The 27517-nt window shown below is 52.9% G+C and overlaps 1 protein-coding gene across 58 annotated transcripts in view, besides 3 other annotated features; it reads right to left on the reverse strand.

The window, feature by feature from the left end:
• The window catches only part of RBFOX3 (RNA binding fox-1 homolog 3), a 576227-nt gene that overhangs the window by 128703 nt on the left and 420007 nt on the right, over positions 1-27517 (reverse strand). For 52 of the 58 annotated variants that reach the window (NM_001385807.1, NM_001385838.1, NM_001385842.1 and 49 more), the window contains one exon: positions 17719-17758. The exons of the other annotated variants lie outside the window; for them this stretch is intronic. The gene's annotated coding sequence lies outside the window, so the exon portion shown is untranslated. The remainder of the gene's footprint in view (positions 1-17718; positions 17759-27517) is intronic. 58 annotated transcript variants of the gene reach the window in all.
• Positions 5109-5609: an enhancer, noted in NCBI's record as "H3K4me1 hESC enhancer chr17:77219238-77219738 (GRCh37/hg19 assembly coordinates)". NCBI's record gives its function as "activates a minimal SCP1, AML or CMV promoter by ChIP-STARR-seq in primed H9 embryonic stem cells {active_cell/tissue: H9 hESC(primed)}" and the evidence as "EXISTENCE:reporter gene assay evidence [ECO:0000049][PMID:30033119]".
• Positions 5610-6110: an enhancer, noted in NCBI's record as "H3K4me1 hESC enhancer chr17:77219739-77220239 (GRCh37/hg19 assembly coordinates)". NCBI's record gives its function as "activates a minimal SCP1, AML or CMV promoter by ChIP-STARR-seq in primed H9 embryonic stem cells {active_cell/tissue: H9 hESC(primed)}" and the evidence as "EXISTENCE:reporter gene assay evidence [ECO:0000049][PMID:30033119]".
• Positions 9576-10347: an enhancer, noted in NCBI's record as "H3K27ac-H3K4me1 hESC enhancer chr17:77223705-77224476 (GRCh37/hg19 assembly coordinates)". NCBI's record gives its function as "activates a minimal SCP1, AML or CMV promoter by ChIP-STARR-seq in primed H9 embryonic stem cells {active_cell/tissue: H9 hESC(primed)}" and the evidence as "EXISTENCE:reporter gene assay evidence [ECO:0000049][PMID:30033119]".

The following is a 27517-nucleotide window of genomic DNA, read 5'->3' on the forward strand; positions in this document are numbered from 1 at the left end:
AGCTGGGGTCAGGTGGACGGTGGTACCCACTGGTGATCCGCAGGGCAAGGATGGAGAAGCCAGTCTGAAGGAAACAGCAGTTTTCAAGGCTCATTTTTGAGTGTGAGTTTGAGGAGTGTGTGGGCATCAGGTGGACAACAGGAATCGAGCTGGCGAGGCTGGGAGGGGGTCCTGGTGGGGTTCGGACTTGGGGGGTGGCAGCGTTTGGGTGCCGTCTCCCACACTGGGGTGGGTGACATGGCTCAGGGAGGGACAGCAGGAGAGGAGGAGGATCCTCCTATGGGGGCCTGGTTCTCTGCCCAGCTGCAAATCCCAGCTTGGAAGTGGAGCCGGGGATCTGGCTCCTGGGAAGATGAGAAGGAGAGGCTCCCCGATCAGGTTCCGTCCCATCCCAAAATAGCCTGGAAGGTCCAGCAAAGGAGCACTGGCCCGGCCCCCAGGGCTTGGCCGAGCGTGGCTGAGGACAGGCAGAGCCCCTGCTGGGGAGAGGGGGAGTTCTGGGAGGAAGACCCCCAGAGGAGCCCGGCAATCAGACCCTAACCAGAGACGGAAGCCCCCTCCCACCTCTGAAGGGGCTCCTAGGCCGGCTCACACACGCCAGGTCAGGGCCGGGAGCCGAGATGCAGGGAGGTCAGGGAACAGGGTTCCATTCTGCCTGCAGGCTCAGGGAATGTCTTTGGGGAAGTGGTCGCTGAGGCTGGCCTTGAAGAATGAGGAGGGGGACTAGTGGGACACATCAGGGCATTCTTGGTAGAACCAAAGGCCTCGGTGCAGACATGGAGGCCGGAGCACCCGGGCACATCCTTGCCCCAATTTTGCCCTGAATGGGAGCAGAGTCAGCAAAGCACAGCAGAGCTCAGCCCATGGGGTGACCAGCGGTGAGCTTGACCCTCGCGATTCTGACTCCCAGGGGCCATCCGTCCCTTCTCCACGGCTGCCATGGCTCCTGCGGCCTCAGCCTGCTCTGCGGACCCCCTGCTGGACCCACAGTCCAGCTGCTTGGTGTGGGCCCCACAGGCACCTGTGCGGGGTCAGGCCCTCCCAGTGGGGCTCCAGGGCCCTTGAGCCCTTCTCCTGGTGATGGGGCTGGACTGTGGCCCTGGAGTTCCATGCTGCAGGGTAGATTGTGTCTGGACCCAGAGGTCAGGCTGGGAAGGGGTACCCGGATGTGGGGTTGCCCCTGCCTGGGAAGTGTTCCTGGGCTGAGGCTGCTGGCTGGGCACAGGGGAAAAGTTCACCCTACACGGAAAGCACAACAAATTCACACAGATTTCCAAACCACTTCTGCGCAAGCCTAGAGGCTGATGATCCGGGGATATGCAGCCTTCTCCAAAGTGTGTGCATGTGCGTGCGCGTGCACACACACACAAAGACACACAGACACACACACATACCCTAAACCTTTCCTTCTTCTCCCAGTTCCGCCCAGTTGAGCTAGGATGGCCCGGTCCTCCCCTCACTGTGAGGGCCCCTTCCTGCTTGGCCTCGCCTGGTACTGCCCCTTCAGGCCTGTCTGGCCCAGACCCCTACCCTGATTTTTCATTTCCTTTGCCAAAAGGCACAGGGGCTCGCAGAGGAAGGTGGGGGAGGCTGCAGAGTGGGGGCGCCTACTCTCCCCAGGGCCTCTGCAAGCTGCTCGTGTCTGGGCTCAGAGCTCCGGGGAGGTCGGCTGGGGCTCACAGCCATGCTTCACCACTCCTTCCCAGGGTCCGGTTTCCCACACCTGATTTTGTTTGGGAAGCGGGAGGAGTAAAGGCACAGGATAAGGGGGAGGGGAGCTTGTGGGGCTGGGGCTGGTGTGCTGGGTTCCTGGGAGCCATCTGAAGTTTGGGCTAGTGTATCCCCTGCCGGGTATTACTGGAGGCTGGGCCCAGCCCCCTGTCCCAGCCCCCTGTCCCAGCCCCACCGTCTGCATCCGAGGCCCACCTAGAACAGTCTGGCCGACAGCCAGCACTTCCTGTCTGGGGACACCTCCAACCGGCACCCCTGCCTGCTGGGCCCTGGGGGAAGGGTGGCATGGCCTGGGAAGGCACGGGGTGGGGGGGTGGGGGGAGCACGCTGAGCTTCCCAACATTTCAGCCCCAGATCTGCCCAGAGTGAGAAAGCAACACGCAGTCCACGCTTGGTACATACCCAAAAATACATCATCATTTCGGAACCGCGGCTCCACAGCAGGCTCCCGGGGAGGAGGGGAGGAGACCCAATCAGGGAAGCGGCCGCTGGCGGCAGGTTGGTGGGGGTAGGGGCTTGGTCCCCCAACGCTGGCACTCAGTTTAGCTGTCACTTGCAGCTGTCTTAGGAAGTGCGGCTCTCCTCTCTGCCTCCCGCTCGCTCCTGCTCACTCCAGGTCCTCTCTCCCTCTCCCTGTGTCTCTGCCTCTCGCTTTATTTCCCCAGGTTGCTCAGCTCCGTGCCTGCTCTCCGCTCGCCCATCGATGGGGTCCTGCCCGGCACTGCCCTGTCGCAGTCACTCCTGCTGCCTGGATCTCTGTTCAGAGTTGAACTACAGCGTCCTGATTCCAGCGCTCATCAAGCAGGGGACCCAGGGGAGGGTGTGTGTGTGTGTGTGTCGGGGGGACACAAAACCTTCCAGCCTAGCAGATCTCACGGATACCGGAATGGGGAGGACACTTTACTGAAGGTTAGAACAATTCTCATAAGGTCCCTCTTGGCTTCAGAGGGTGGGAGATGAGATTTGGAAGGGCCAGAGAGGTGACACTGCCTGGAGACCCCAGCCCCAAGTTGGAGCAGCAGGGAGGGAGGAGAAGCAGCTCCTGCAGAGGCGGGGCGGCTCTCCAGGCCTGGAGCGTGGGCCAATCAGAGACGAGGCGCAGAAGTTGAATGTGCATTGGGTGCAGCAGGGGTGAGAGGGTGGAGTGCAGGGAGGTGGGGCCACCGCCTGCAGGAGAGCCTGCATCTAACGTCTGTCCTGCCTCAGCGTTTTCCAGGACACCCCATCCATGAGGGACTCCGATACCTTCTCCACTAACCCACCCTGCTGGGGGCTAGGACCTTTGAGGACTCACTGCCCTGCAGCCAGGATTTCCGCTCAGCCCTGCCGAAAAGCCGATGCCGGCTGAGCGCTGTTGACAGAGGCCTCTCAGCCGACCTGCCTCGCTGCCCATCATCTCTGGCCAGTGCCACCCATGGGCTGTATACAGCCAGGGACCCAGGCCCAGGGCCCGGTCGGGAGCCTGCTCCACCATCGGCCTGAAGGCCAGAGCCCACCCGGGCGGTTGCCTGCTCTTTGAATAGACAAAAGAGACTTCTTTCTATGGTTCTCAGAGTTTCTTCCAATGAGCAACAATGAGGCCCAGAGGCCGGTTAGTGTTGGGGTGGCTGCAGGCGGGTGGCTGCGTGAGGTCTCATGTGCTGGCTCTGCTCTCATGCTTCCACTCTTTCCTCTGGAGAGTGAGAGAGTGATGCAGGTTGGGGGGCCTCTTGTCCCCCTTGGGCCTGCATTGGTGGCCTCAAGGGCCAGCCCTAGACTAAACACCCAGGACTTTCCTTCCCTGGAGGGTAACTTGGGTCCCCCAACCCAACTGTGTCCAGCTGTGGTAAGGTGGGGTCCGGGCGAATTCATGATCGTCTTCAGTGAGAGCCCACCCAGACCCACAGAGGTCTTCCCACCCTGTCACTCCTTCCATGGGGACCTGGCTGAGTGGAAGGAGGGCTCGCTGGGAAGGAGGAGGTGGGGGTCGGTGGCTGGAGCCTCTGGCTCTGCTCCCTGGCTCCCCTCCAAGGCCGCCGCCCATAGCTCTCTGGCTGGGCAAGCCCAGGGGAGGTGACAGGATGCAGGCAGCAGCATCAGCTTTGAGTCTCTGGGGCTGGCATGGATGCCTGGCAGGAGCGGGGAAGGGTGGAGGTGCAGATGGGGAGGGGTGCAGAGGGCAGAAATATGAGTTGCTCATGTTGCAAGCTCTAGAATGAGACTGCCCAAAAACCTCCACCAGCCACAAACACCTGAGGGTAGGAAAGCAGGTGTTCCACCAGAGCCGATGCCATAGGGACCTGCTGCCTGATTTCTACCCGTTGCCTGATTTCTACCCATTGCCTGATTTCTACTGCTGCTTGATTTCTACCCGCAGCCTGATTTCTACCTGCTGCCTGATTTCTACCTGCAGCCTGATTTCTACCTGCAGCCTGATTTCTACCGGCAGCCTGATTTCTAGCAGATCTAAAGCCCTTTATGGCTCCCTGGGGATCCAACACTTTGTGCTAGCTCATGCCAAGGAACCAGCCCTGGCCAGAAGGTACAGAGGCCTAAGATCCATCTAAACCAAACATTTCCCAGCTCTGCCACTGCCAGTCTTGCAGCCTCTGTGGGCTGCGTCGCTGCTCTCCACCTTAGTGTCCTCATGTCTAAGCTGGGATGGCAGGACAAACCCTGCTCCAGGGCTGTTTGGGGAAGCTCCTGTTCTTTTGAAAGGGCCAGAGCTCTGGGGACTCTGAGTTGGCACAAGCCCCTGCACCTGAGACTCTGAGCAGCATTCTGTAGCCCCTTGCCGAGGCCAGTGAGCAGCCACATGTCCTCTCGCACGTGTCCAGAAAGTTGAGCTTTGGGCTCAGAAAGCTCACAGGACGACAATGCCCACCAGAGATGGCCTTGAGCCCCTCCTCCATGTCCCCCCACACACAGCCTTGTCATTGCACATGGACTGGGCTGTCCCTGCCCTGGGCACACAGGCACCTCCTAGAGGGCAGGGGCTCAGCCACACTTGTCATGTCCAGGGTGGCCAGCATGGTGCAGATGCCCAAATGCTGGCTGTGGGGCTGGAAAGAATGAAGAGGTGGCCGGGCATGGGCTGGGTTGCTCTTTGGGGAGCACAGGGTGAGAAAGAAGCAGTTTCCTCTGTAGCCTGTGTCCCCCGGGCTCCATTCTGGAGGGTCTGTGATGACAGTGGTGAATTTCTGGCTGCAGCTCTGGGGTGTCAGGGTGTGGGTCTGCCACCTTTTCCTGCATGCCCTGGGGACCTGCCCATATGGCCAGTGGCTTCCTCAAACAAGCTGCCTGTCTCCTGCATCCTCTAAATTCTGGGGTGGCCACTCCATCACCCTCGAAAAATGGGCTCACAGGCAGGGCCTCTGCCAAGTTAAGTTCCAGTGTTTCTGCTCTAAAACTCCACACCTTGAGTGCACATGTGGCAACAGCAGACAGCACACACAGTTGCCTGTGTATCTGTACACACACACGGTCCCCCTACACACACACAGCTGCATATATCTGCAAACACACACATGCACGGATGCCCTGATACCCCTGCACACGCACACAGCTGCATGTGTATCTGCACACACACACATGCATGGATGCCCTTATCCACCCCCCTCACAAACAGCTGCGTATACATGCATGGTCACATACACACCTCTGCACGCAGAACCTTCCCCTGGAAATGTACCAATGTGGCAGCCCCACTGGGGCAACCCCCAGTGAGCAGACCACTTCCACACATGCCCTGGAGGTCTTGGGCTTGTCCCTGCAGATCCTGGCATGGAAACCCGACCCTGCACTTGGGCCAGGCTGTGACATTTGCCACACATTCTGCCCACAGCCCTCAGGCCAGTGGCGTGAGACATGGAGAGGATGCGGCATCCTCTGGTCAGAACGCCAGCAGCTATGAATAAATAATGATGAAGGGAGAAGAAAGAGGGGCCGGGGTGCAGGACACTCCCCCACCGAGGGATTCTGAGGCCTGGGCAGCTGTCCTGGGCCGTCGACACATTCCAAGCTCAGCTGCTCTGTGGCAGTGCGCCCCCCCTACAGCACAGCACTAAAGCAAACAACACTTTCAATAATTCAGCAGCAGGAGAGGGGATTTAGGAAGGGAAAATCCACCTCAGCATTGACAGAGGGGCCAAGAGGAACAAGGCAAAGGTGTGTATATTGGGAGGCAAAGGTGTGTATATTAGGAGGGAGGGAGAGACAGCAGAAGGGAAGATGGCAAGCACGATGGAAGGCAGGCTTGAATGCCGCCTCCTGCACACCTCGCCAGTTCTCTGCGTGTGTCCTGATTGAGAGTCTCTGGGCAGATTCTTCTTTCCCAAACAGTAACATATGGTGGTCACTGAGGCATTAACTGCCACCAAGAGCCTCCGGAGTCACCTGGCCTCTCCCCTTCCAGGACATAGGAAATTCCTCTGCAGCCTCCCCACCGCAGATGCCTCCAAGGACCAAGGACAGGGAATCCAGGCAGCCCACCCGATGGCTGCCAGCTGTCATGGTCAGGAAGTTCTTCTTTCAGACAGCCTGAAATCCATCTCCCCCAGACTCTCCTCATTGATCTTAGTTCCGCCATCTGAGGCCACAGGCATTGTGTGGACTTTCCCTTCCACAGGCCAGCCCTTGAGCTTTCCAAGACAGATCAACCAGCTCTTTCCTCCTCTGGGCACACAGCGCTGGTCCCTGGGGCCATTTCCTTTAGGGTGCATTTGGGTCTTTACCCCGTCTTGTCCACTTGGCTGCGAAACATCCCCTGGCCCATAGCTGGGAACTCCAGGGTGAAACTAACATTCCAGGTGGCCCTGCGGCCCAGGGATCCCCTGAGGTGATCCAGAGTGGACCTTACCCATGCCATCTAAACAGAGTCAGCTTGGAGGGCAGCCACTTAGCTTTGGAGTCATCGTCCCTCCAGCTTCCTGGGGACACAATTGGTTTACACTGTAATTATTAACAGGGCTGCAGTTTGGAGGATGTGTCATCTGGTCACTCTAATTGTACTGAATTTGTGATCAGTGACAGCCCCTGAGTCTTCTTTCTCTTGTACTCATCCAACTGGTGTTTTTGGAACTCAGAGCAAGATTTTACATTTAGTCTTGTTACATTTAGTGAATTTCACCCCTGGTGCTAGCCAGCTAACCAGGAAAACTATTAGTTATTCCTCTCATCTTTAGAAGAATAAGAATTTGATCATCATGCCTACTAAATGTTTACATAAACTGCTGGTGAAAGGCATGACTAGCATAGGGTTGAGAGCCCAGCCTTGTGGCGCACCATTAGAGACACCCCAGGAGTCAGTGCCCTTTGACCATTCACACACGTCACCTATGCAAAACATGCCCCTGCCTTTCCACCATCCAGTCTTCAGTGAAAGGTGACCAGCACGTACACAGCCCACATGGCTTGCACAGTCAACCTCTCTCCCTCTTTGGAAAGTTCGGCTGTCTCCCAATCTCAAGCTTCCTCCCTGGGCATCTCTCGCTGGCCAGTCCCCTCCCCAGCACTGCTGTCCCCTCCCTCCATTCTTTTTTTTTTTTTTTTTTAGACAGGGTCTCACTCTGTTGCTCAGGCTGGAATGCAGTGGCACCATTTGGACTCACCGCAACCTCCACCTCCCGGGTTCAAGCGATTCTCATGTCTCAGCCTCCCGCATAGCTGGGATTACAAGCATGCACCAACACACCTGGCTAATTTTAGTATTTTTAGTAGAGACGGGATTTCACCATGTTGCCCAGGCTGGTCTCAAACTCCTGACCTCAAGTGATGTGCCCACCTCAGCCTCCCAAAGTGCTGGGATTAAAGGCATGAGCCATGTGCCCAGCCCCCGGATCAATTCTGTAAGTGCTCAGCTGCTGGATTGACTCTGGAACTCCTCACAGCCAAGGGGAGCGTGTGTCCATGCCTCGAGGACCCACAGACCCCAGCTGGGTAGGGGGCTGCTGGGCAGAGCCGGAGGGGGTACTGGGTCCCTTCTGCCTCAGCAGCAAGTCCACAAATGTGTGTGAGGTGCCAACTGCAGGCTGGGCCCATTCCACACCAGGGACCCAGCTTTGAACCAAACAGGTTAACCTTCCTGCACTCCTGGGCTTTACCCCGTACTGGGGAGGAGAGTCAACAAACATAATTTAGAAAATTGTCTTGCATGTCAAAGGGCGACAGTGGTGGGGGAAGCAGGATGGGGGTGTGGGAGGGCAGAGGAGGGGGCTGCAGTGTTCAGCCAGGTGGTCAGAGTAAGTGTAATTGATGAGGTGATGTTCAGGCCCATCTGGATAGGCCCAAAGAGGGGGCTCTGAGGCTTTCTGGGGAGAATATTCCAGCAAAAAGAATATCCCTGGCAAAGGGCATTCCACATCATGGGATATGTCTAGCTATTTGGGGAACCAGCAAGGTGGCCCATGGGCTGGAGTAATGAGAGTGGGCAGGCAGCAGTGGGAGAAGTGGTCAGATCATAGGAGGTCCTATATGGGAGGGTATTGTGAGGACTTTGGCCTTTCTCCAAGAGAAGTGGGAGTCACAGGAGGATTTGGAGCAGAGGAGGAGTGCAGCCCAACTTGGGCTTTAACCGTATTAGCGTCACCCCAACAGCACATTCCCTGGATAGGAAGTGGGCCAGGTGTCTAAAGATGGACCTCATGACCATCTTTGCTCAGCCTGAGGATTTTGTAATGGTTGGTATTCACGGGGAGGTGGGGATGGCTTCCTGGCCTGATGAGCAGTCACCTGCCTGCTATGCTTCCCACCGTGGTCAAGAGAACGCATGGGGTCTGTGACTGCACCCAGTGTGTCCTGGGCATCACCCTGTGGAGCAGGAGGAGCCTGGGATGTGGCAAAACTCAGACCTGAGCTCAAATTCCAGACCAGCCACTGTCCTGCTGGGCAGCTTTGAGCAGATTACTTAACCTTTCTGAGCCTCTGTTCCCTTTTTGGTAGAGTGGGGATGGCAACATCTACCTTCCTGGGGTGACTATGGGGGTTTAGCAGTCACCAAGGTGGAGGGTCTGGCACACAGGTATTGGATAAAAAATATCACATTAATCAAGGGACATGGGCATTTGCAGGTATGTGAGTTAGGAAAGAGGGAGCGTGAGGCTGGCAAATTTCTACACCAGCGTGAGACTGGATAAGGACAGACTCCAGCTCTGACAAGTTGCTCGGGAGGCTCTGGGACCTGCCAGGCCTGGGGGAACCCACTAAGCATTCTGGGCAGGGACCTCTCACTCTGGCCTGCGCGGAGCATCTGCAGAAGCAGCAGAAGGCTGCGGTGCCTCCAACCCCGCCTTGCTCCCCTTTCTCACTCCCGTGTCTCTTCCCTCCCTCCTTCCCTCTCCCTCTAACTTATCTGCAAGCGCCAGCCAGTTGGCAGGCTGGACACTCAGCAAAGGAGCCATGGAGACTTCTTGCTGGTTTTGGCCGAGACCACCAGTTTTGTGTGTTGAGTCCCCAGAGGCGAATTCCAGCAGAGGAGGGACAAAGTAAGTCCTGAGAGGTCCAGCGAAGCAGCGAGCCAGAGAACATCCACAGAGGCAGGTTGGGCCTCAGTTTCGGAGTGGTTTCCCCTTTTCCTCCTGGGCTGGTGTCCTTTGATCCCATGGACCAGATGGAGGTGTCCCCATGGATGTCAGAAATCCAGCCCACCCCTAAGAGGGGGTGAGTATTGTTTGAGCATCAGCTCGTCCAGGGCAGGGGCTTTGTTTGGCTCCTTGTTGCATCTCAAGCATGTCATTTGTGCTCACTGCACAGGAGATGAGCAGGTCTCTGATGCCAGTGGGGGACTCTGCCATAGAGAAGGATTCAGCACAGGGCCCCGCTCATTCCCGGCTGGCTGGGGGATGGCGGCGTGGGGAGGCTGACTGGCGGCGGTTACTCACTCTTCCATGGCTTATAACTGGAGCACATGTGATGGCCAAGAGGCAAAAAGCAAAGTGCCCAGGAAGACCCTGACCAGCCTGAGGGATGCAGGCAGGTGGCCTCAGTGTCCAGGTGAGGGTGGGAGAAATCCAGGGGCAGGGGAAGGTAGGCTCGGGGCCTCTGTGTTGGTTTTTCCTTCTGAGCTGGTAATGCCAAGGCCAGCGAGGTCCTGAATTGTAGCCATCACATTGCATGGACCTCCACTTTGCTTAGTGGGGAGCAGATAGGTACTGCAGCTTTTTAGCCACCAACAGCGATAAAACCCACCTTCTTTGTGGACCTCCCCCTACGAATCCTCTGGAGAGACAAGGGGCCCTGCGGTCAGCGTCAATGTAAGGCCTGCAGGGTCAGAAGGACCCAGGTGTGGGCAGCCAGGCTGGCCAGGGACGCATGTCTTCCCTGCCCTTCCTCCGTAGGACGGAGCCTGGCCTGCTCCTCCTTCTAAGCTGCTTACAGGTCTCTCTCGTCACCTGTTCTGTCTTAAGTGGGATTGTGTCAAGACCTCACTATCTCGCCTCTCCTCCCTGGCGCTATCCGTGGGCTCTCCGTGTTCCCTCCGGCCTGTGCCTTGGCAAAGCTGTCCGCTCCGGAGCGGGCGGGGTGGCCATGAAGCCTGAGAGAGAGGTGTGTGTCCTGCTCTCTGCACCGTGACGCCTCCCGCTCCCTGAAAACCAGGGAGAAATTACTCTGCCCAAGCGGAACACGCCCGGACAAGCCTCCTCTCCAGCTGTAATTAATACTCTGGGGAAAACACAGACTTGGGGTTTTCATACTTCCACACAAACACACACACACTCACAGATTTCTTTCCATTGTCCTCCGATCCCATCTCAAATGTTTAATGTCCTGCTTCTTTCATGGGTAGCACAAAACCACCCAACTGGATACATCCAGAAAGCCAAGGGAGGCACCAGGGACCCTCTTCAGGTTCCGTGATGCAGAACTTGAGCGTTTGGGAGCTGATTTGCCAACAAGCAGTGCCCAGGCTGCATCCCTGACGTGGAGCAAAGCAGCTTTGGCCTTCTCAGAGTCAGAAATAGCCGTGAGTTTGGGTTAACCCTTTGTGGTCAACATTCTGGGGCATTGCTCTTTATTTCCCCCATCACAGTAGCCTAACTGATGCGCTAGTCCAAACACGTGTGCGCATACCAAGCGCTCCTGCCACCTGACTCATTACAAAACACTCTGGTGAGGCAGGAGCCTTGCAGTTCCATGAAGCTAGGCAGCTGGCAACTCTGATATTGGAAATGTTCTCTCAAAGGACAGGAGAGGGCCGGGCGCAGTGGCTCATGCCTGTAATCCCAGCACTTTGGGAGGCCGAGATGGGCGGATCACTTGAGGTCAGGAGTTCAAGACCAGCTGGCCAATATGGTGAAATCCCATCTCTACTAAAAATACAAAAAAAGTAGCCAGGCGTGGTGGCATACGCCTGTAATCCCAGCTACTTGGGAGGCTGAGGCAGGAGAATGGCTTGAGCACGGTAGGCAGAGGTTGCAGTGAGCCGAGACTGTGCCATCGCACTCCAGCCTGGGTGACAGTGTGAATGAGACTCTGTCAAAAAAAAAAAAAAAAAAAAAAAAAAAAAAAAAAAAAGGGACAGGGCTGGGCGTGGTGGCTCACATCTGTAATCCCAGCACTTTGGGAGGCCGAGGAGGGCAGATCACTTGAGGTCAGGAGTTTGACACCAGCCTGACCAACATGGTGAAACACCATCTCTACTAAAAATACAAAAAAATTAGCCAAGTGTGGTGGTGCACATCTGCAATCCCAGCTACTCAAGAGGCTGAAGCAGGATAATTGCTTGAACCTGGGAGGCAGAGGTTACAGTGAGCTGAGATGGTGCCACTACACTCCAACCTGGGTGACAGAGCAAGACTCCATCTCAAAAAAAAAAAAAAAAAAAAAAAAGACAGGAGAGCTCAAGTGGGCCAGGAAGGGTGGAGTCCTCTGCATCTCCCACTGGTCAGAGAGCTCCTTTGGGGTGGCATGAGGAGGTGGGGATGGGAATGGGCTCAGAAATCCAAACCCGTGAAATCCACAGTCTCCTACAGGGAGGCTTGACTTCTCCAGGGAAATTCTCAGTGTGAAAAGTAGCCTGAACAACCAGGACTGTGGTCTTGCCTTGGCCACTTCCAACGTGGGCCTGGGTGAATAATCGACCCATCCTAAGCCTCAGTTTCCTCATCTGTAGAATAGGGACACCATTCCTGCCTTTTGAACAGGCCTGTTGTACGGATGACATGGGACGGCAGGTTTCACTTGTGATGACCTGTGTCCAAGCTCCTAATCAGCTGGAGATGCTGTGCCCAGATAAAGGATTGGGTATGTCCGACTCAGCTGAGGCAGGTGCAGGGACCATGATTTGGAAGACCAAACAGGCTCAGCTTCTCATGGGTCCTCCTCAGCTATTCTCACTGGGGGCAAGGGGGGTGCCGCCCAGAGGCACAGTGACACGCAGTGATGATGAGGCTGGTTGGGTTGCCGTCGGCCTCTAGGTTCCCTTCTCCCCAGTTTTCTCATGTTCCTCACCACCCAGTCTTTGAGAGGCTTGGAGGCATTGTTTTTCTCTCACTTTCTCTCCATATTTATTTATTTATTTTTTTGAGATGGAGTCTTGCTTTGTCACCCAGGCTGGAGTGCAGTGGTACGATCTTGGCTCACTGCTACCTCTGCCTCCTGGGTTCAAGCGATTCTCCTGCTTCAGCCTCCAGAGTAGCTGGGACTACAGTCACCCGCCACCATACCCGGCTAATTTTTTGTATTTTTAGTAGAGATGGGGTTTCACCATGTTGGCCAGGCTGGTCTCGATCTGCTGACCTCGTGATCCGCCCGCCTCGGCCTCCCAAAGTGCTGGGATTACAGGGGTGAGCCACGGCACCCGGCTCTCCTTATTCTTTACAATCAAAATGTTCCTGAGAAGAAACGCTGTGAAGCAGTCTTGCTAAGCCTTTCCAGAGCTAAGTTCCGGCTCCTGCAGAGCCCTCATCATTGAGGAGAGGAGGCTGTTCTCAAGGCATGGGAAGCAAAGGTGCCTGTCTCTACACTAGGACTGTGTGTCCCAGGCTCACGAGTGCTTCTGACAGCCCTGTAGCTCGTCTCCTTCCACCCTGCAGGGGACTGGGGACAAGGGCCAGGCCCAGCCTGTGTATGTGCCTGGGTTTGTTCCAGCAGCCGGGCAGTTACTGCAGAGACAGATCCGGTGTAAAGAAGAAAACAGTTCTGCTTCTGGTCAAGATGGAGAAATGGGGACTGATGTGCCTGCCTCCGAGAACAATAACAACAAGCTGAAGACTAGTTTTCAAGACACTGGACGAGATACAGTGAAGGGCAGTGATCCCCCAGTGCTGGTCATAGAGGAGCTGCACAGTCGTCCCAGCTGACTGTCTTGAGGAAGTTTTCAGGCCATGGTGCAGTGACCCCAGGTCAAGCCTGGTGTACTCCCTGAGTTGAGGAGACAGAGCTGAGAGGTGGGGAGCCAAGGTGGCTGGAGTTATAAGACAGAGCAATGGGGAGAAGACAGCTGGACAGAGAAAGAGCTCTACAGATACTAAGAGGGTCCCACTGAGTACTCAGCTGAGTACTGATCAGCACAAGCTTTGGAGAAAACCACCCAAGGTTGAGGCGAGAACCCCCTGGAGGGATGAAGGACACAGCACTGGGCACCCTCACAGGGCCAGAGTAGCTCAGTCCTCACTAGTCAGATTGGAACAGGAACTTTTTACTGTTCATGGGGCACTGGGTAGAGCATGCAGAGCCCTGCCTTAGTAGCAAGAACAATCACACCTAGGATAAATACAGCCCTGGGCATATCAGGGCTGTATTTATTGTAGAAGAAAACTGCCTTTGTTAACATAATCATTTATATAGAAAATCTGACGGAATTGACACAAAATCTACTAGAACTAGTAAATAGATTTAGCAAGGCTGCAGGACACAAAATCAATGTACAAAAAATCTATTTTATTTCTATACGCTAGCAACAATCAATCAGAAATTGAAAGAAAAATACCATTTTAAGAAGCATTAAAATATGAATGACATTGGCATAAATCTAAGAAAAGATGTTCAATATCCATACACAGAAAACCATAAACCATTGATGAAATTAAAGAAATTCTAAATAAATGGAGAGAAATACCTTGTTTATGAGTCAGAAGGCCCAGTATTGTTAAGATGTCACTGATCGCTGTATTAGTCCATTCTCATGCTGCTATGAAGAAATACCCAAGACTGAGTAATTTATAAAGGAAAGAGGTTTAGTTGACTCACAGTTCCACATGGCCGGGGAGGCCTCAAGAAACTTACAATCAGGGCGGAAGACACCTCTTCACAGGGCGGCAGGAGACAGAATGAGCGCAAGCAGGGAAATACCAGACGCTTACAAAACCATCAGATCTCGTGAGACTCACCCATTATCACGAGAACAGCATGGAGGAAACCACCCCCATGGTCCAATTACCTCCACCTGGCCCTGCCTTTGACACATGGGGATTACAATTCGAGGTGAGATGGGCATATCAATCCCTCAAACTGACTTATAGATTCAATTCAATCCCGATCAAAATCCCAGCAGGCATTTTTTTTTCTTAGAAATTTACACACTAATTCTAAAATTCATATAGAAATGTAAGGGGCCTAGAAGAGCCAATATAACTTTGAAAAAGAAGGACAAAGAACAGGAAGATTACCTGGTTTCAAGACTTACTAGGAAGCCATAACAATCACTGTAATAGCTGTGGTAGGACTGGCATCAAGACAGGCCAACAGATCCAAGAAACAGAATATCAAACCCAGACATAGACTCACATACACATGACAACTGATTTTTGATAAGACTGCAGGGACAATTCAATGGGGGAAAGGATGATCTTTTTAATAAGTAATAATGAAATCATTGGACATCCATATGGAGAAAAATAAACCTCAATCTATAGCTTGCCCCATGCACAAAAGCTAATTTGAGATAAATCGTGGAACTAAATGTAAAACCTGAAACTATAGAAGATCTAGAAGAAAGCATAGGCGAAAAAAAATCTCTTTACTTTTTAGCAAAGAAGACATAATAAATGCCAAATAACCATACGAATAGATTCTCAACATCATTAGTCACTAGGGAAATATAGATTAAAACCCCAGTGAGCTACCGCTACATACCTAGTCAAATGGCTAAAGTTATGAAGACTGACAACACCAAGGGTTGCGGAGGCTGAAGAACTGCAATTCTCACCCACGACTGGTGGGAATGTAAAGTCGTGCAACCACTTTGGAAAACCGTTTGGCACTTATTTAGGGCGTTAAAATATACTTACCTTGAGATCCAGCCATTTCACCCAAGAGAAAACAAAGAATATGTCCATGCACAGACTTGCACACACATATTCACAGCAGCTTTATTTGTAACAGCCCCAGACTGGAAACAGCCCAAATGTCCTTCAAGGAATGAATGAGTCAGCGCTTTGTAGCTCAATCCCAGCGTGGAATACTACTTGGCCAGAACAAGGAGAAAAGTATATCTATGTCCAACATCACAGAGGAACCTCTGAATAACTATGAGGAGTGAAAGAAGCCAAGCAAAAAATGACCACAGATGCTACGATTCTATTTATATAAAACTCCAGAAAATATACATATTCTACAGCGACAAGAAGCAGAGTCAGTGCTTGCCTTGGAAGAGGGGATTGGGTGGGGTGTGAGGAAGAGATTACAAAGAGGCACAATGTAATGGTTGGGGGTGATGAATACATCCATTATCTTGATTGTGGTGATGGTGTCATGGGTATACATATATATCAAAGCTTATCAAATTGCATACTCTCTGTGATGTTTATCATACCCCCAATGTACTTCAATAAAACTATTTAAAAAACCAACGTGCAAAAATCCAAGTTTACGGGACCAGGCAAATGACTGCATTCTTACATAGAGTGCAAATGGATTCCTTTTTTTTTTTTTAGACGGAGTTTTGCTCTGTTGCCCAGGCTGGAGTAAGTGGTGCAATCTCGGCTCACTGCAACCTCTGCCTCCCGGGTTCAAGTGATTCTCGTGCCTCAGCCTCCCATGTAGCTGGGATTATAGGTGCCTGTCACCATGCCCGGCTAATTTTTGTATTTTTAGTAGAGACGGGGTTTCACTACATTGGCCAGGCTGGTCTTGAACTCCTGACCTCAGGTGATACGCCCGCCTTGGCCTCCCAAAGTGCTGGGATTACAGGCGTGAGCCACCGCGCCCGGCCCGGCAAATGAATTCTTTATTCTACAAGTGACTCACCTGGGGGCTCCTTCCGATGCTTCCCTGTAAAATAGATTCAGTTTACAGCGGTGGCATCTCAGGAGGCGGCTGTGACGGCTGCTGCCCTCCTCGTGGTGAACACTTGCGGGCGCCTGTGAGGCCAACACCCGGCGGCCTTCCTGTCTACTCCCACGGAAAACTGCATCTAACCCTGACACACACAGGCAGCCACTCGGTACGGGGGACCCTGTTACACACGGCCCACTGTGGGAAGCCTGAGGCCATGTGAAGGGGACCCCCTGGGCTCTGTCTCTTTGTCCTCTTCCTGCTAGAAAGCCGGAGAGCCGGCAGCAGAGCCCGAGCTGCCTCTGCCCGCAGCCCTGAGTGGCTCCGAGGTGACCTGCTTCTAGGACGGAAGCACCCGGCTCAGGTCTAGCCCAGGTCTAGTTCTAATGTCAGGTCTAGCTCCAGGCCATCTGGTCAGTGCCCACTTCTGAGCCAAGGGCGGGCTTAGGGCAAACGCGGTACAAAAAAGAGTGCCCAACTTTTCTAGTTTTGGCTGAAGAAGACTTCATACGCTGACGGATCTAGTTTCCGGTCCTGATTTTTGAAAAACGCAGCGCTGGCCTTGTGCACACACCACCCAAAACCCAGGACCTAGCGAAGAGAGGCCACCTGAGGGCCGATGGCTGCATTTTCTAATTTTGTTCACACTAAATATACATTACAGATGATCTCCAACTTACGAAGGTTTGACTTACGATTGACTTTGAATTTTTCAACTTTATGTTTGTTGGGTTTATTGGGGGCATTAAGTGCTTTTTTTTTTTTTTTTTTTTTTTTTTTTTGAGATGGAGTCTTGCTCTGTTGACCAGGCTGGAGTGCAGTGGTGTGATCTCAGCTCATGCAACCTCCGCCTCCCGGGTTCAAGTGATTCTCCTGCCTCGGCCTACCAGTAGCTGGGACTACAGGCACCCGCCACCATGCCCGGCTAATTTTTGTATTTTTTAGTAGAGATAGGGTTTCGCCATGTTGGCCAGGCTGGTCTTGAACTCCTGACCTCAGGTGATCTGCCCACCTTGGCCTCCCAAAATGTTGAGATTACAAGCATGAGCCACCAAGCCCGGTCCATTAAATTTATTTTTGACTTACAATATTTTCACCTTATGATGGGTTTATCAGGACACAACCCCATTGAAGGTCCAGAAGCATCATACTTGTATAATAATCTCCCCAAAGTAAACTCTGCAAGTGAATCTGTGGAGGGGGTCAGCCACAGGTGGGTAATGGGGGTTGGAGGTACAGAGCAATGGACCAATGGGCTCAGGCAGTAGTAGCCAGTCCCCCAGCGAGGGTCAACACTGGGAACTGAGCTGGTATCCGAAGCCCCTTCCCCGAGGAGACCAGGCCATGGAGATGAGTTGGACCACCCTGGACCAGCAAGCTGGGGCTGCCTGAGGAATGGGTGGCCATGCGCGGAGCACCTGGGGTGGGGGACCTTGGGGTTGGGGGAGGGAAAGGATCAGGAAGGCAGTGACATTGCTTCTCAGGCCAGCCAGAATTGCCTAAAAACAATCGTCCTCCATCCTTACCCCATTTATCCATTTCCCTTTCAGCCCCTCCGGCTCCCAGTCCTGCCTTTCCCAGCACATTTTGGGCTCATCCATGGGGGACAAGAGAGAACACGACACAGAGGTGCTAAACGGCGCCAAGCCTTCCCTCCACAGCCCCCAAACTCTTCCTCCCTCCAGTGGCTGGGAAACCCCAGAAACTCCTGGCTTTCATTATCAGCAGCTCCCAAGATGTTCAACATGCTCATATCTGTCAAAAACTATTCAGGAAAAATAGAGAAAGTCTTTATACCTTTTATTCAGCCAATTTTCCCCGAGGCACTCTGGGCTCTCTAAGAAAAGAAAAAGAGAGAAAGGAGAGAGAATCACAATCAATGTTGTCATCATGCATCTGGTTGCTGGCGATGCTATTTGCTCATCGACTAGGGAAGTCTGGAGGTGGAAGCATCATCTCCCTGGGAGTCCAAGGAAACCTGCCTGGGTTAACCTCTGGCTGCCGTCTGCATCTCAAGCATGGCTGGGAGGCGGCGGTTAGATAACAGGCAGAGATAAAGCAAAACAGGGCACGGTGGACCGGCCACCCAGAGGTTTCAGACTCATTTTCTCTGCGACTCTGGATGTTCCTTTTTTTCCCCCACCTCAAACTCCAAGCACTCCCCAGCCTGGTTTGAGGTTGTCCACAAACGCAGGCCTTGTGGCTTGTTGATGGTGACGTTTAGTTTCACACTGGGTTTCCTCTGCCATGCCGTGGGGATTTGCTTCCTCCTCCAGGTGTAGGGCGGGGGTCACTTTGAGTGTGGTCATGGCATGCACATTCATTTTATTTATTTATTTGTTTTTGGAGATGGAGTCTCGCTCTGTCTGGAATGCAATGGTGCGATCTTGGCTCACTGCAACCTCCGCCTCCTGGGTTCGAGCGATTCTTGTGCCTCAGCCGCCCTAGTAGCTGGGAGTACAGGTGTGTGCCACCCCGCCCAGCTAATTTTTTGTATTTTTAGTAGAGACGGGGGTCTCGCCATGTTGCCCAGGGTGGTCTCAACCTCCTGAGCTCGGGCAATCCACCCACCTTGCCCTGCACATTCATTTTATGTTATTAAAGAAAAGTTATTTAACAAATTCTAAATCCCACCAAACACATAATTATAGAGGCAATCGTTGTATGTTATTGTGAATCAGGTGCACCTACCAGCAGCAGGAACAGCTCAGTGATACGGACAGACTGGCAAGGACCACCACTCACTCACTTTATAATCCAGGGCCCGGGGCCAGGGTATCCACTCCTGCCTAAGTCACAAAGCTAGCTCACTGGGGCCTGGGACTCCACACGAGTGCCTGGAGACCTTCCTTTTCTTAGTAGGTCATTGAGGAGTTCAGAAACAAAGGGGTGTGTGTATAGTGTGCTTTAAACAAACTTAGATTTCCTTCCTTTATTTTAGTAATGTTTCATAATTTTCTGTGTACATGACTTGCACATTTTTTAATTGTGGTAAAATATACATAATATACAATTTACAATTTTAACCATTTTCAAATGTACAATTCAGTGGTATTGAGTGCATTCACACTGCTGTCAATCACTGCTGCTCTCTGATGCCTGAACCTTTTCGTTGCTCCAAAAAGAATATCCATACCTGTTAAGATGCCACTCCCTGCCCCCAGCCTCCTGTGCATATGTGTATGTGTGCGTATTTTTTAAAACTTAGTGCAAAAAATAAAAGCAAGTGAAAAGCTTCTGGAATTGAAAGACGGTCAGACTGGGCCTCTTTCTTCAGATCTAGAAAAATCACCACCACCGTCTTCATCCACATCACTGTAAAAAGGTTACTGCGGTCGTTTAGTTTGCATGGTTTATGAGCCAGGCACCGCCTGTACATTGCTTCATTCAGCCCTCCCAACAGCTCTAGCAGGCAGGTACACTTCTTACTCTTCCCATTCTTCAGATAAAGAAACCAAGGCCCCAGCTGGTGAAGCGACTGTGGCCACAGTAACTGAGTCAGCTGGCCCGTCCCCCAGAGCAGGTTACCCCATCTGCCTGTCTCACCCACAGGTGGAAAGAAGTACCCCGCCCTGTGGGAGGCGAGAATGAACGTGGCCACAGAACACCAAAATGCACAGGGCCTGCCTTCCCTGCTGGAGTTTGTGCAGATCACAGTGGCAGTATTGGGTACTTCATAGGCGGGCCCCTCCCAGCCGCATCAGGGAGGGCTATGGGCCAAGGAGCAGCTGAACTTGAACTGGGCACTGGGCTGGCCATTTCCAAGGTGGCCCTGTGGAGCCCCTGTTCTCCTCCCCAGTAAAATGGCAAAGGTAACTTCTGGCCCGTGGAGCCATCTCCACACACAGCTCACAAAATGACGCTGAGAAGGGCAGGTGTGATTGGAAGGCACTGCCAGTGAGAGTCACTTCGAAAGGAAATGTGTCATCTGAGCGGCTTGCATCAACTGCTGCCTTCGTTAATTTGGGGGATTTTTTTCTATTTTTGAGACAGACTCTCGCTCTGTTGCCCAGGCTGGAGTGCAATGGTGCAATCTCAGCTCCCTGCAACCTCTGCCTCTCAGGTTCAAGCGATTCTCCTGCCTCAGCCTCCGAAGTAGCTGGGATTACAGGCATGTGCCACCACACCTGGCTAATTTTTGTATTTTTGGTAGAGATGGGGTTTCACCATGTTGGTCAGGCTGGTCTTGAACACCTGACCTCAGGTGATCCACCTGCCTCGGCCTCCCAGAGTGCTGGGATTACAGGTGTGAGCCACCACACCCAGCTGGATTTTCTTATTGGTGATTTCTTTTCTTGAAGTGAGTTCTTCTTCCAATTCAATACAATTTGATTCAATTGAATCCAGCCCCACTGAACAAACACACAGCCAGGCATTTGGATCTGAAGCCAGGTCCAGAGCCTTGGAAGGGTACGTCTGTGGCTCTGCTGGAGGCAGGCTCGGGCCCATGGGCTGAGAAGGTGAAGCAGGACTAAGCCAAAGATTCAGGGCTTCACCTCTCTTCCCGAACACCTCCGTGTCCCCTGTCCCTTCTCCTCTACTGGCCCAGGCTCTATGCCCAAGCCCTTAGAAGTCCTCCCAGCACAGTAACTCCTTTCGGCTCTGGAATTCCCAGTCTTTAGGCCACATCAGCCCAGATGGGAGCTGGCAGAGTAGCCTGTTCACCCCACCCCATCCAACCCAGCTTCTCTGCCTCTGCCAACCCTTCTCTCCTGAGAGATTGCTGGCATTTCTTGAGTTCTCTTAAATGTGTCACACACGTACGAGTGTCTTTATTTAGTCAAGGTGAAATATGTCCTACCTGCACTGTGTGAACCCGGGGTTGCAGTGGCATCTGGAGGCCCAGGGGCTGAGCCACATTTCAATCACCAAAGAGTCCCCATTTTTGAAAGCTCCAGAACTAGAGGGATGGTCAAAGAGCCGGTCGAGCCTGATGCCTCAACCACAGGGTCCAATCTGTTTTCCTGGTTCTTCGGGCCAGGAGCTCCCCGAGCCCAGCTTCGTCCTCCATCGTTTCACAGAACCTCCAGGGTCACGAAATTCCCTGCACCTCCCCGGAGGCTCTTGTGCATGGAAAGGAAGGTGGTCTCTGTGCAGAGCAGCCCACAATTTGGGAGCAACCAACTCCAGTGGTGGCCTGGTTGCCCATCCCTGGGATGGTGCCTCGCTTCGTGTTTCTGAGATGTCGGCTCCCCCTCCTCTTCTGCACTCCCAGCATTTTCTATGTCTCTGGTCCTTGCCCCACCTACCCAATCCTGGGGGCGGGGGAAGGAGAGAGGCCCCCCAGGTTCATTCCCATTCCATGGGCCTTTTGGATGACATCCCACGGGCGTGCTCCCAGGGTCATGAAACACGGAGCTGATTCTCAGCCTCACTGTTAGCAAACACTGCTCTCAGCCACTCAGCGGGATAATCAATTATGGTAATTTTTGCCTCCATGAATCAGGTTCATGGAGGAACACAGGGATCAGCACAGTGGTGCCGACTTCCCCAAGTGCACATGCAGTCACACCCTTCAGCAAAGCCCAGACAGAGCAAGACCCGCCTGCCAGGCTCAAATTGTCTCCACACTCCCAGAGTCCACTCCACACTGCCCACTGCCCCCAGGAGACGGCGGGGCACTGCACAACTCCACACTCTTCCTGGGGGAGCAGGGAGGGCTGTGGTTGGGGTGAGTGCCCAATGTGGAGCCCCTGGTCTGCTTTCCCACTAGACTGTGATGCCCCCATGGGCAGAGGCCATATCTTAGAGGTCCTGGTGTCCCCAGACACTGGTGTGGGGCCACCATGGACCAGAGGCAGTGGATGTTTGCTGAATGAATGAACAAGGGAATGAAATTGTAACAGGTAAGGGTTTGACTCCAGAGGTCAGAGCTGGACCCCTGTTTTGAAGCATGGGATTGGACACTTTGAGAATAATATTTGCTCTTGGGGAATCCCAGCCACGGATGTGCATTTATCCACCTGGAGAGGCCTTTTCTCATGTTCTCCCTTTCTGTCCTGTCTCTCCTTTAGGCCCCTTGATTCCACCTGGCTCACAGTTCAACTTCCCACCTTCGCACTAGTCCCTCCAAAGACGAGTTCCTTGTGGGCTTTTCCCTGCAATTCTCCTCAAGGACATGTGATTCTGTCTTTATTGAACTCCATCCAAATGACGGAAGTCTCCCACCTCCCAAAGCCTTTAACCCTAGCTGTCTTCTGTCCATAAAACATTTCATTCTTCAGAAATTAAACTGGGGCTTGCTTGTGTGGCCCTTGAAATGAAAAGCACATGTGTTCCTTAGTAAAACTCATCGTTAGTGGATCATGCAAGACAACTGGCCAGAAAAAAACCGCTCATGTCAAAATCAGACCACTCCCACTCATTGGTGGCCCTTCAGCTTAGCTGTCACACATACATCCCTTCTCTCCCAAGATAGATGCAAGTTACTTGATTATGGGGAAGGTCTAGAAAGGCACAGAGCAAGCGGAACGTGGATTTCTGCATGGATGTGTCCCCAGCTCTTTGATAAAGTCAATTTCTTAGCAGTGGCCATCATGTCTCTTATTTATTGAGCATCTACTGTGTCAGGCACTGAATATACATCATTGACCTCACGTCAGCCCCATTAGGGACACATTCCTACCCTTGATACCAAGATGAGAGAAAGGATACTCTGATGTTTCTCCTGGTCTGTTTCACTTTATTTTTAAAATTGTTCTTTTTATTTTTTTGAGATGCAGTCTTGCTCTGTCACCCAGGCTGGAGTGCAGTGGCACAATCTCAGCTCACTGCAAGCTCCGCCTCCCAGATTCACGCCATTCTCCTGCCTCAGCCTTCCAAGTAGCTGGGACTACAGGCACCCGCCACCACACCCAGCTAATTTTTTTGTATTTTTAGTAGAGATGGGGTTTCACCATGTTAGCCAGGATAGTCTTGATCTCCTGACCTCGTGATCCACCCACCTCGGCCTCCCAAAGTGCTGGGATTACAGGCATGAGCCACTGCGCCTGGCCTAAATTTTTCAATTAAAAAAAAATTTTTTTTGAGCAGGATCTTGCTCTGTTGCTCAGGCTGGAGTGCAGTGGCACAATCATAGCTCACTGCAGCCTCCATCTCCTGAGTTTAAGTCACCTTCCCACCTTAGCCTCCCAAGTAGCTGAGACTACAGGCAAGCACCAACATGCCTGGTTATCTATCTAGCTATCTATCTGTCTATCTATTTAATCTTTTTTTTTTTTTTTAGTAGAGATGGGAGGTCTCAGTATGTTGCCCAGGTTGGTCTTGAACTCCTGGCCTCAAGTGAGCCTCCCACTTCGGCCTTCCAATGTGCTGGGGCTACAGGTGTGAACCATGGCATCCGGCCTGTTTCGCTTTAAGTTTGAGCCCTCTGCGTAACACCATCCTGCACTTCTGGGGAGGTGATATGTGGAGATTCCATCATTTTGGGACATCTCTTCTTAACTCCATTGGCAAGGACAACTGAATCAGCCACAGATGATGGCTGGGAAGAGGGGCAAGGAAAAATGGGGCCTGTCCTGGTGCCAGGGTTCAGGGGAGCACAACTAACTGATGTTGACGTGGAAGGTGCTGAGGAAGGTGACTCTGTGCTGAGGAAGGTTCCACTGTGACCACGTGGAACTGTTTGTGCGGGAGGAAGCTTGACTGTCTGAAGCAGGGAGATGGTTTTTGTCACTTTGGCTGCCATGATAATACCATAGACTGCCGGCTTAAACAACAGAAATGTATTTCTCCCAGTTCTGGAGGCTGGAAGTCTGTGATTAGGGAGCAGTGTGGTCAGGCGCTGGTGAGGGCTCTTGTCCTGGCTTGCAGACAGCCGCCTTCTCACTGTGTCTTCACATGGCAAGGAGACAGCGTGAAAGCAGTCTCCCTGGTGTCTGTTCTTGTAAGGGCACTAATCCCATTGCCCAAGGGACCCTCCCTCATGACCTCATCTAACCCTAATCACCTCCCAAAGGTCCCATCTCCAGATATCATCCCTTAGGGAGTTAGGGCTTCCATATAGGAATTTTGGGGAGTGACCGACATTTAGTGCAGCACACACAGCTTCCACGTATTCACTCGATTCTTTGCTTTCTTTCCTTCCATGTTTTCCTAAATGTGCAGTGACGGTGCTTGGACCTAGTTTATGGTCAGAGTAGATTTATTTGGCATTGTACGAGTTCCTGCAGCAGAGGCACTGGTGCCAGGAAAGACCTTGGGAGCTCTGGTTCCCAGCGTGCTGCTGCTGCTGGTGGAGGGGGTGCTACCTGAGGAGCCCCGGGGTGGGGGGCAGGCCGTATGGAGGGTCCTCGAGGCAGCTTTGAGAAACTCCCAGTGCACCACTCTCTTGTGTTACTTCAGATTTTATGAAACGATCTGTTTGTGCTCTTTCCCTAAGGGGAGCTGGAGGTGAAGGGTGCAATTTTATAAATCACTATAAAATTATAAAATTTTTTATAAATTATAAAAAATCAACTGTGGGTGGCTTAAACCTGGCTTGTGATGACGGTGATCAGAGCAGGAGAGCCACATCTATTTAATGTGATGTTTTCCTCCTTCTTCTGAATAGAAATTTGCCTTTAGAGAGGAAAGGAGGGGAGAGAAGAGGAGAGGGGAGGGAAGGGGAAGGGAGCATAGGGCAGGAGAGGGCAGGGGAGGGAATCTGGCTTATGGCTCTGAGCCATAAACTGTCACCATTAGGGAGACCGGGGAGTTCTGGCAGGTTCTGGCCATCACAGTAGTCCCTGGAGTGGCTTTGGGTTCTGAGCACACTGCCCATACTTAGGTCTGTGGGAAGGGCCACCCCCTTACTGGGCCTCCACAGGGCAGCAGGGCAGGGCTTAGGGGTTATACGCCGTGCTCAGAGCAGTTTTGCCTCCTCTCCCAGGAAGCCCGGGCAGGGCTCCACAGCAACCTGCCTGGAGTCCCACCTTCAAGGTCCTTCTAGGCACTCTAGGCCTTCAGCTGTGCTCCAGTGGGGCCTTACTCCTCCTCTGCCTGCGTGGACACTGCTGTGGGCCCCGTGACAGCAGCATGCATGCCTAGCACTTGCTGAATGTATGCCAGGCTACCTGCTGGGGACTGTGTTTTTCTGGGGTTATGCCATTGATGATGTCATTTCAGCTTTACAACCACCCTAGGGGGCAGGTACTATGATCACTTCCAGTTTCCAAACATCAAATCTGAAGCTTGGGGAAGTGAAGCAGATTGCCCTAAATGCCACAGCTGGTAGCGGTTGCAGCTGAGTTTGCGCGAGACCCACCTGACCACAACCTTGTGCTTAGAGCTGATTATTCTGCTCAGGCCAAGCACTCCCGGATAAACCCTGGAGTGTCAGAGTGAGCAGGGGGCAAACCAACGTGGCCCCAGGAGAAAACCCACTGTACTCCTTTTGCTCATTGCCGGGTCTAACTCCAACCTGCCTCCCACCCCAGCACTTGTGCAGCCTCAACGCCCAACATCAGCCCAAACCTTCTGTGACCAGTTGACTCTTCCAGCTGTGCTGGGCTTTGCAAAGCCCATGTGCCTTTGCCCTGGGGTGTCATTTGGGACTGTGGAGTCGACCACAGTCAATTGCTTGGGTGATATATTAGAGGTTCTGTCTGGTGGGATGAGGTCTGCAGGCACCTGGCTGCCCTCAGGTGGGAGGGTGTGGGGAAGGTGCTGGCTTTGCATGAGCGGAACTTAGCGCACACCTGTGGACTGAACTGAACTCACTGGCCCACCCCTGAGCACCCTTGACAACACCCAAGCTGTGCCACAGACACCATAGTGTATCCTCCACCTGTCCCTGGGTCAGCCAGGCTCAGAAACAGAAGCCCAGAGAAGGAATTTTGCCAAGGTTGACACAGCTTCCAAAGGGCAGAGCCAAGACAAGAAGGCGCAATGCCACCAAGCAGATGGCAGTGGAGGAGACAGAGACCCCACTGAGGATGCAGAAATGGCCTGCGGTCCCAGAGGTAGGGGGCAGGTGGGAGGCCCAGTGTGGCATCTCTGCCCTGGAGCATCTCCAGACAGGCAAGTTTCAGGGGCCAGAGCCCAGCACTGGGTCATCTCAACAATCCATAGACACCCTCGGCCTTCCACACATGAAGGAGATACCACCGCACAGGGCAGAATGGTGTCCCCAGAGTCCATGTCCATCCGGAACCTTATTTGGAAACAGGTTCTTTGCAAATGTAATTAGTGAAGATGAGGTCATAGTGGAACAGACTGGGCCCTACATCCAATGCCCGGGGTCCTCATCAGTTGAGGAGAGGACACAGAGAGACACGCATTGGGTGAGGGTGTGTGAGGATGGAGGCGGAGATTGGAGTGATGTAGCCACAGGCTAGGGCGCGCTGAAAACTGCCAGGAGACTTGAAAGGACAAGGAAGGAACCTGCCCAGAACTTTCAGACAGCAGGGCCCTGAGACACCTGCATTCCAGACCTCAAGGCTCCATCTCCAGAGCAGTAAGAGAATAAACTTCTGTTGTATGAAGCCTCCCAGTTTGTGGTCATCTGTTACGGCAGCCACAGGAGAGTAACCCACCCACCCTCCCCACCTTCAGGGCAGTGCCAGCGAGGGCTGCGGGCGCACAGTGGGCCTGGTTTTCACCCCCTGCCTGCACCCTACTCACTCTGGGCTTGCTGGGCCTGGTTCCCAGAGCATGGTGGCCCTTTCTTCACGGTCATTGCTCTTCCACGACTTCTCCATGATGTTATTCCTGACCACACAAACACTGTCACAGGTGCCCCTCCTAGAGCCTTCCCTTCCCTTCCCTTTTCTTTCCTCTTTCTTCTCCCATTCCTTTCCTTCCTTCCTTCCTTTTCTTCCTTCCTTCCTTTATTCTCCTTCCTTCCTTCCTTCCCCCTCTCCTTTATCCCTTTCCTTCCTTCTTTTCCTTCCTTCTTTCATTCTCCTTCCTTTCCTTTCCCTTCCCTTTCCTTCCCTCCCTCCATCCCTCCCTCCTTTCCTTCCTTCCTCTCTTCTTTCTCCCATTCCTTCCTTTTTTCTTTTCCTTCTTTCATTCTCCTTCCCTTTCCCTCCCTCCCTTCCTTCCTCCCTTTTCTTTTCTTTCCCTCCTTCCTTCTTTCTTTCTCCCTCCCCTCCCCTTCCCTCCTCTCCCTTTCCTTTTCTCTTTTTGTTTTTCTTTTCTTTTTGAGACAGAGTCTCACTCTGTTGCTCAGGCTGGAGTGCAGGGCCATCTTGGCTATCTGCAAACTCCGCCTCTCAGGCTCAAGTGATCCTCCCACCTCAGCCTCCCAAGTAGCTGGGTCTACAGGCGTACGCCACCACACCCGGCTCATTTTTGGGTTTCACCTTGTTGTCCAGGCTGGTTTGGAACTCCTAATGGGGCACACTAGAGGGACCTAGAGGCCACATGCCACGGTGGCCTCACACAATTGGACCCCGAGAAAGACCGTTCAGACCAAAGGACCCCAGGAAAATGGTTTTTCCTTTGATGTTTATTTGGAAGCCACTTTTTTGGTTTGAATTTTTTGTGGTAAAATGCCCATAATATAAAGTGTACCATTTTAACCATCTTTAGGTGCACAGTTCAGTGGCATGAAGCACCTCACACTGTTCACCCATTCCCACCGCTCACCCCCTCAGTCCTTTGTGAGGCTGAG

This window comes from Homo sapiens, chromosome 17, assembly GCF_000001405.40.
Source record: "Homo sapiens chromosome 17, GRCh38.p14 Primary Assembly".
In the NCBI taxonomy this organism is placed as follows: Eukaryota; Metazoa; Chordata; class Mammalia; order Primates; family Hominidae; genus Homo; species Homo sapiens.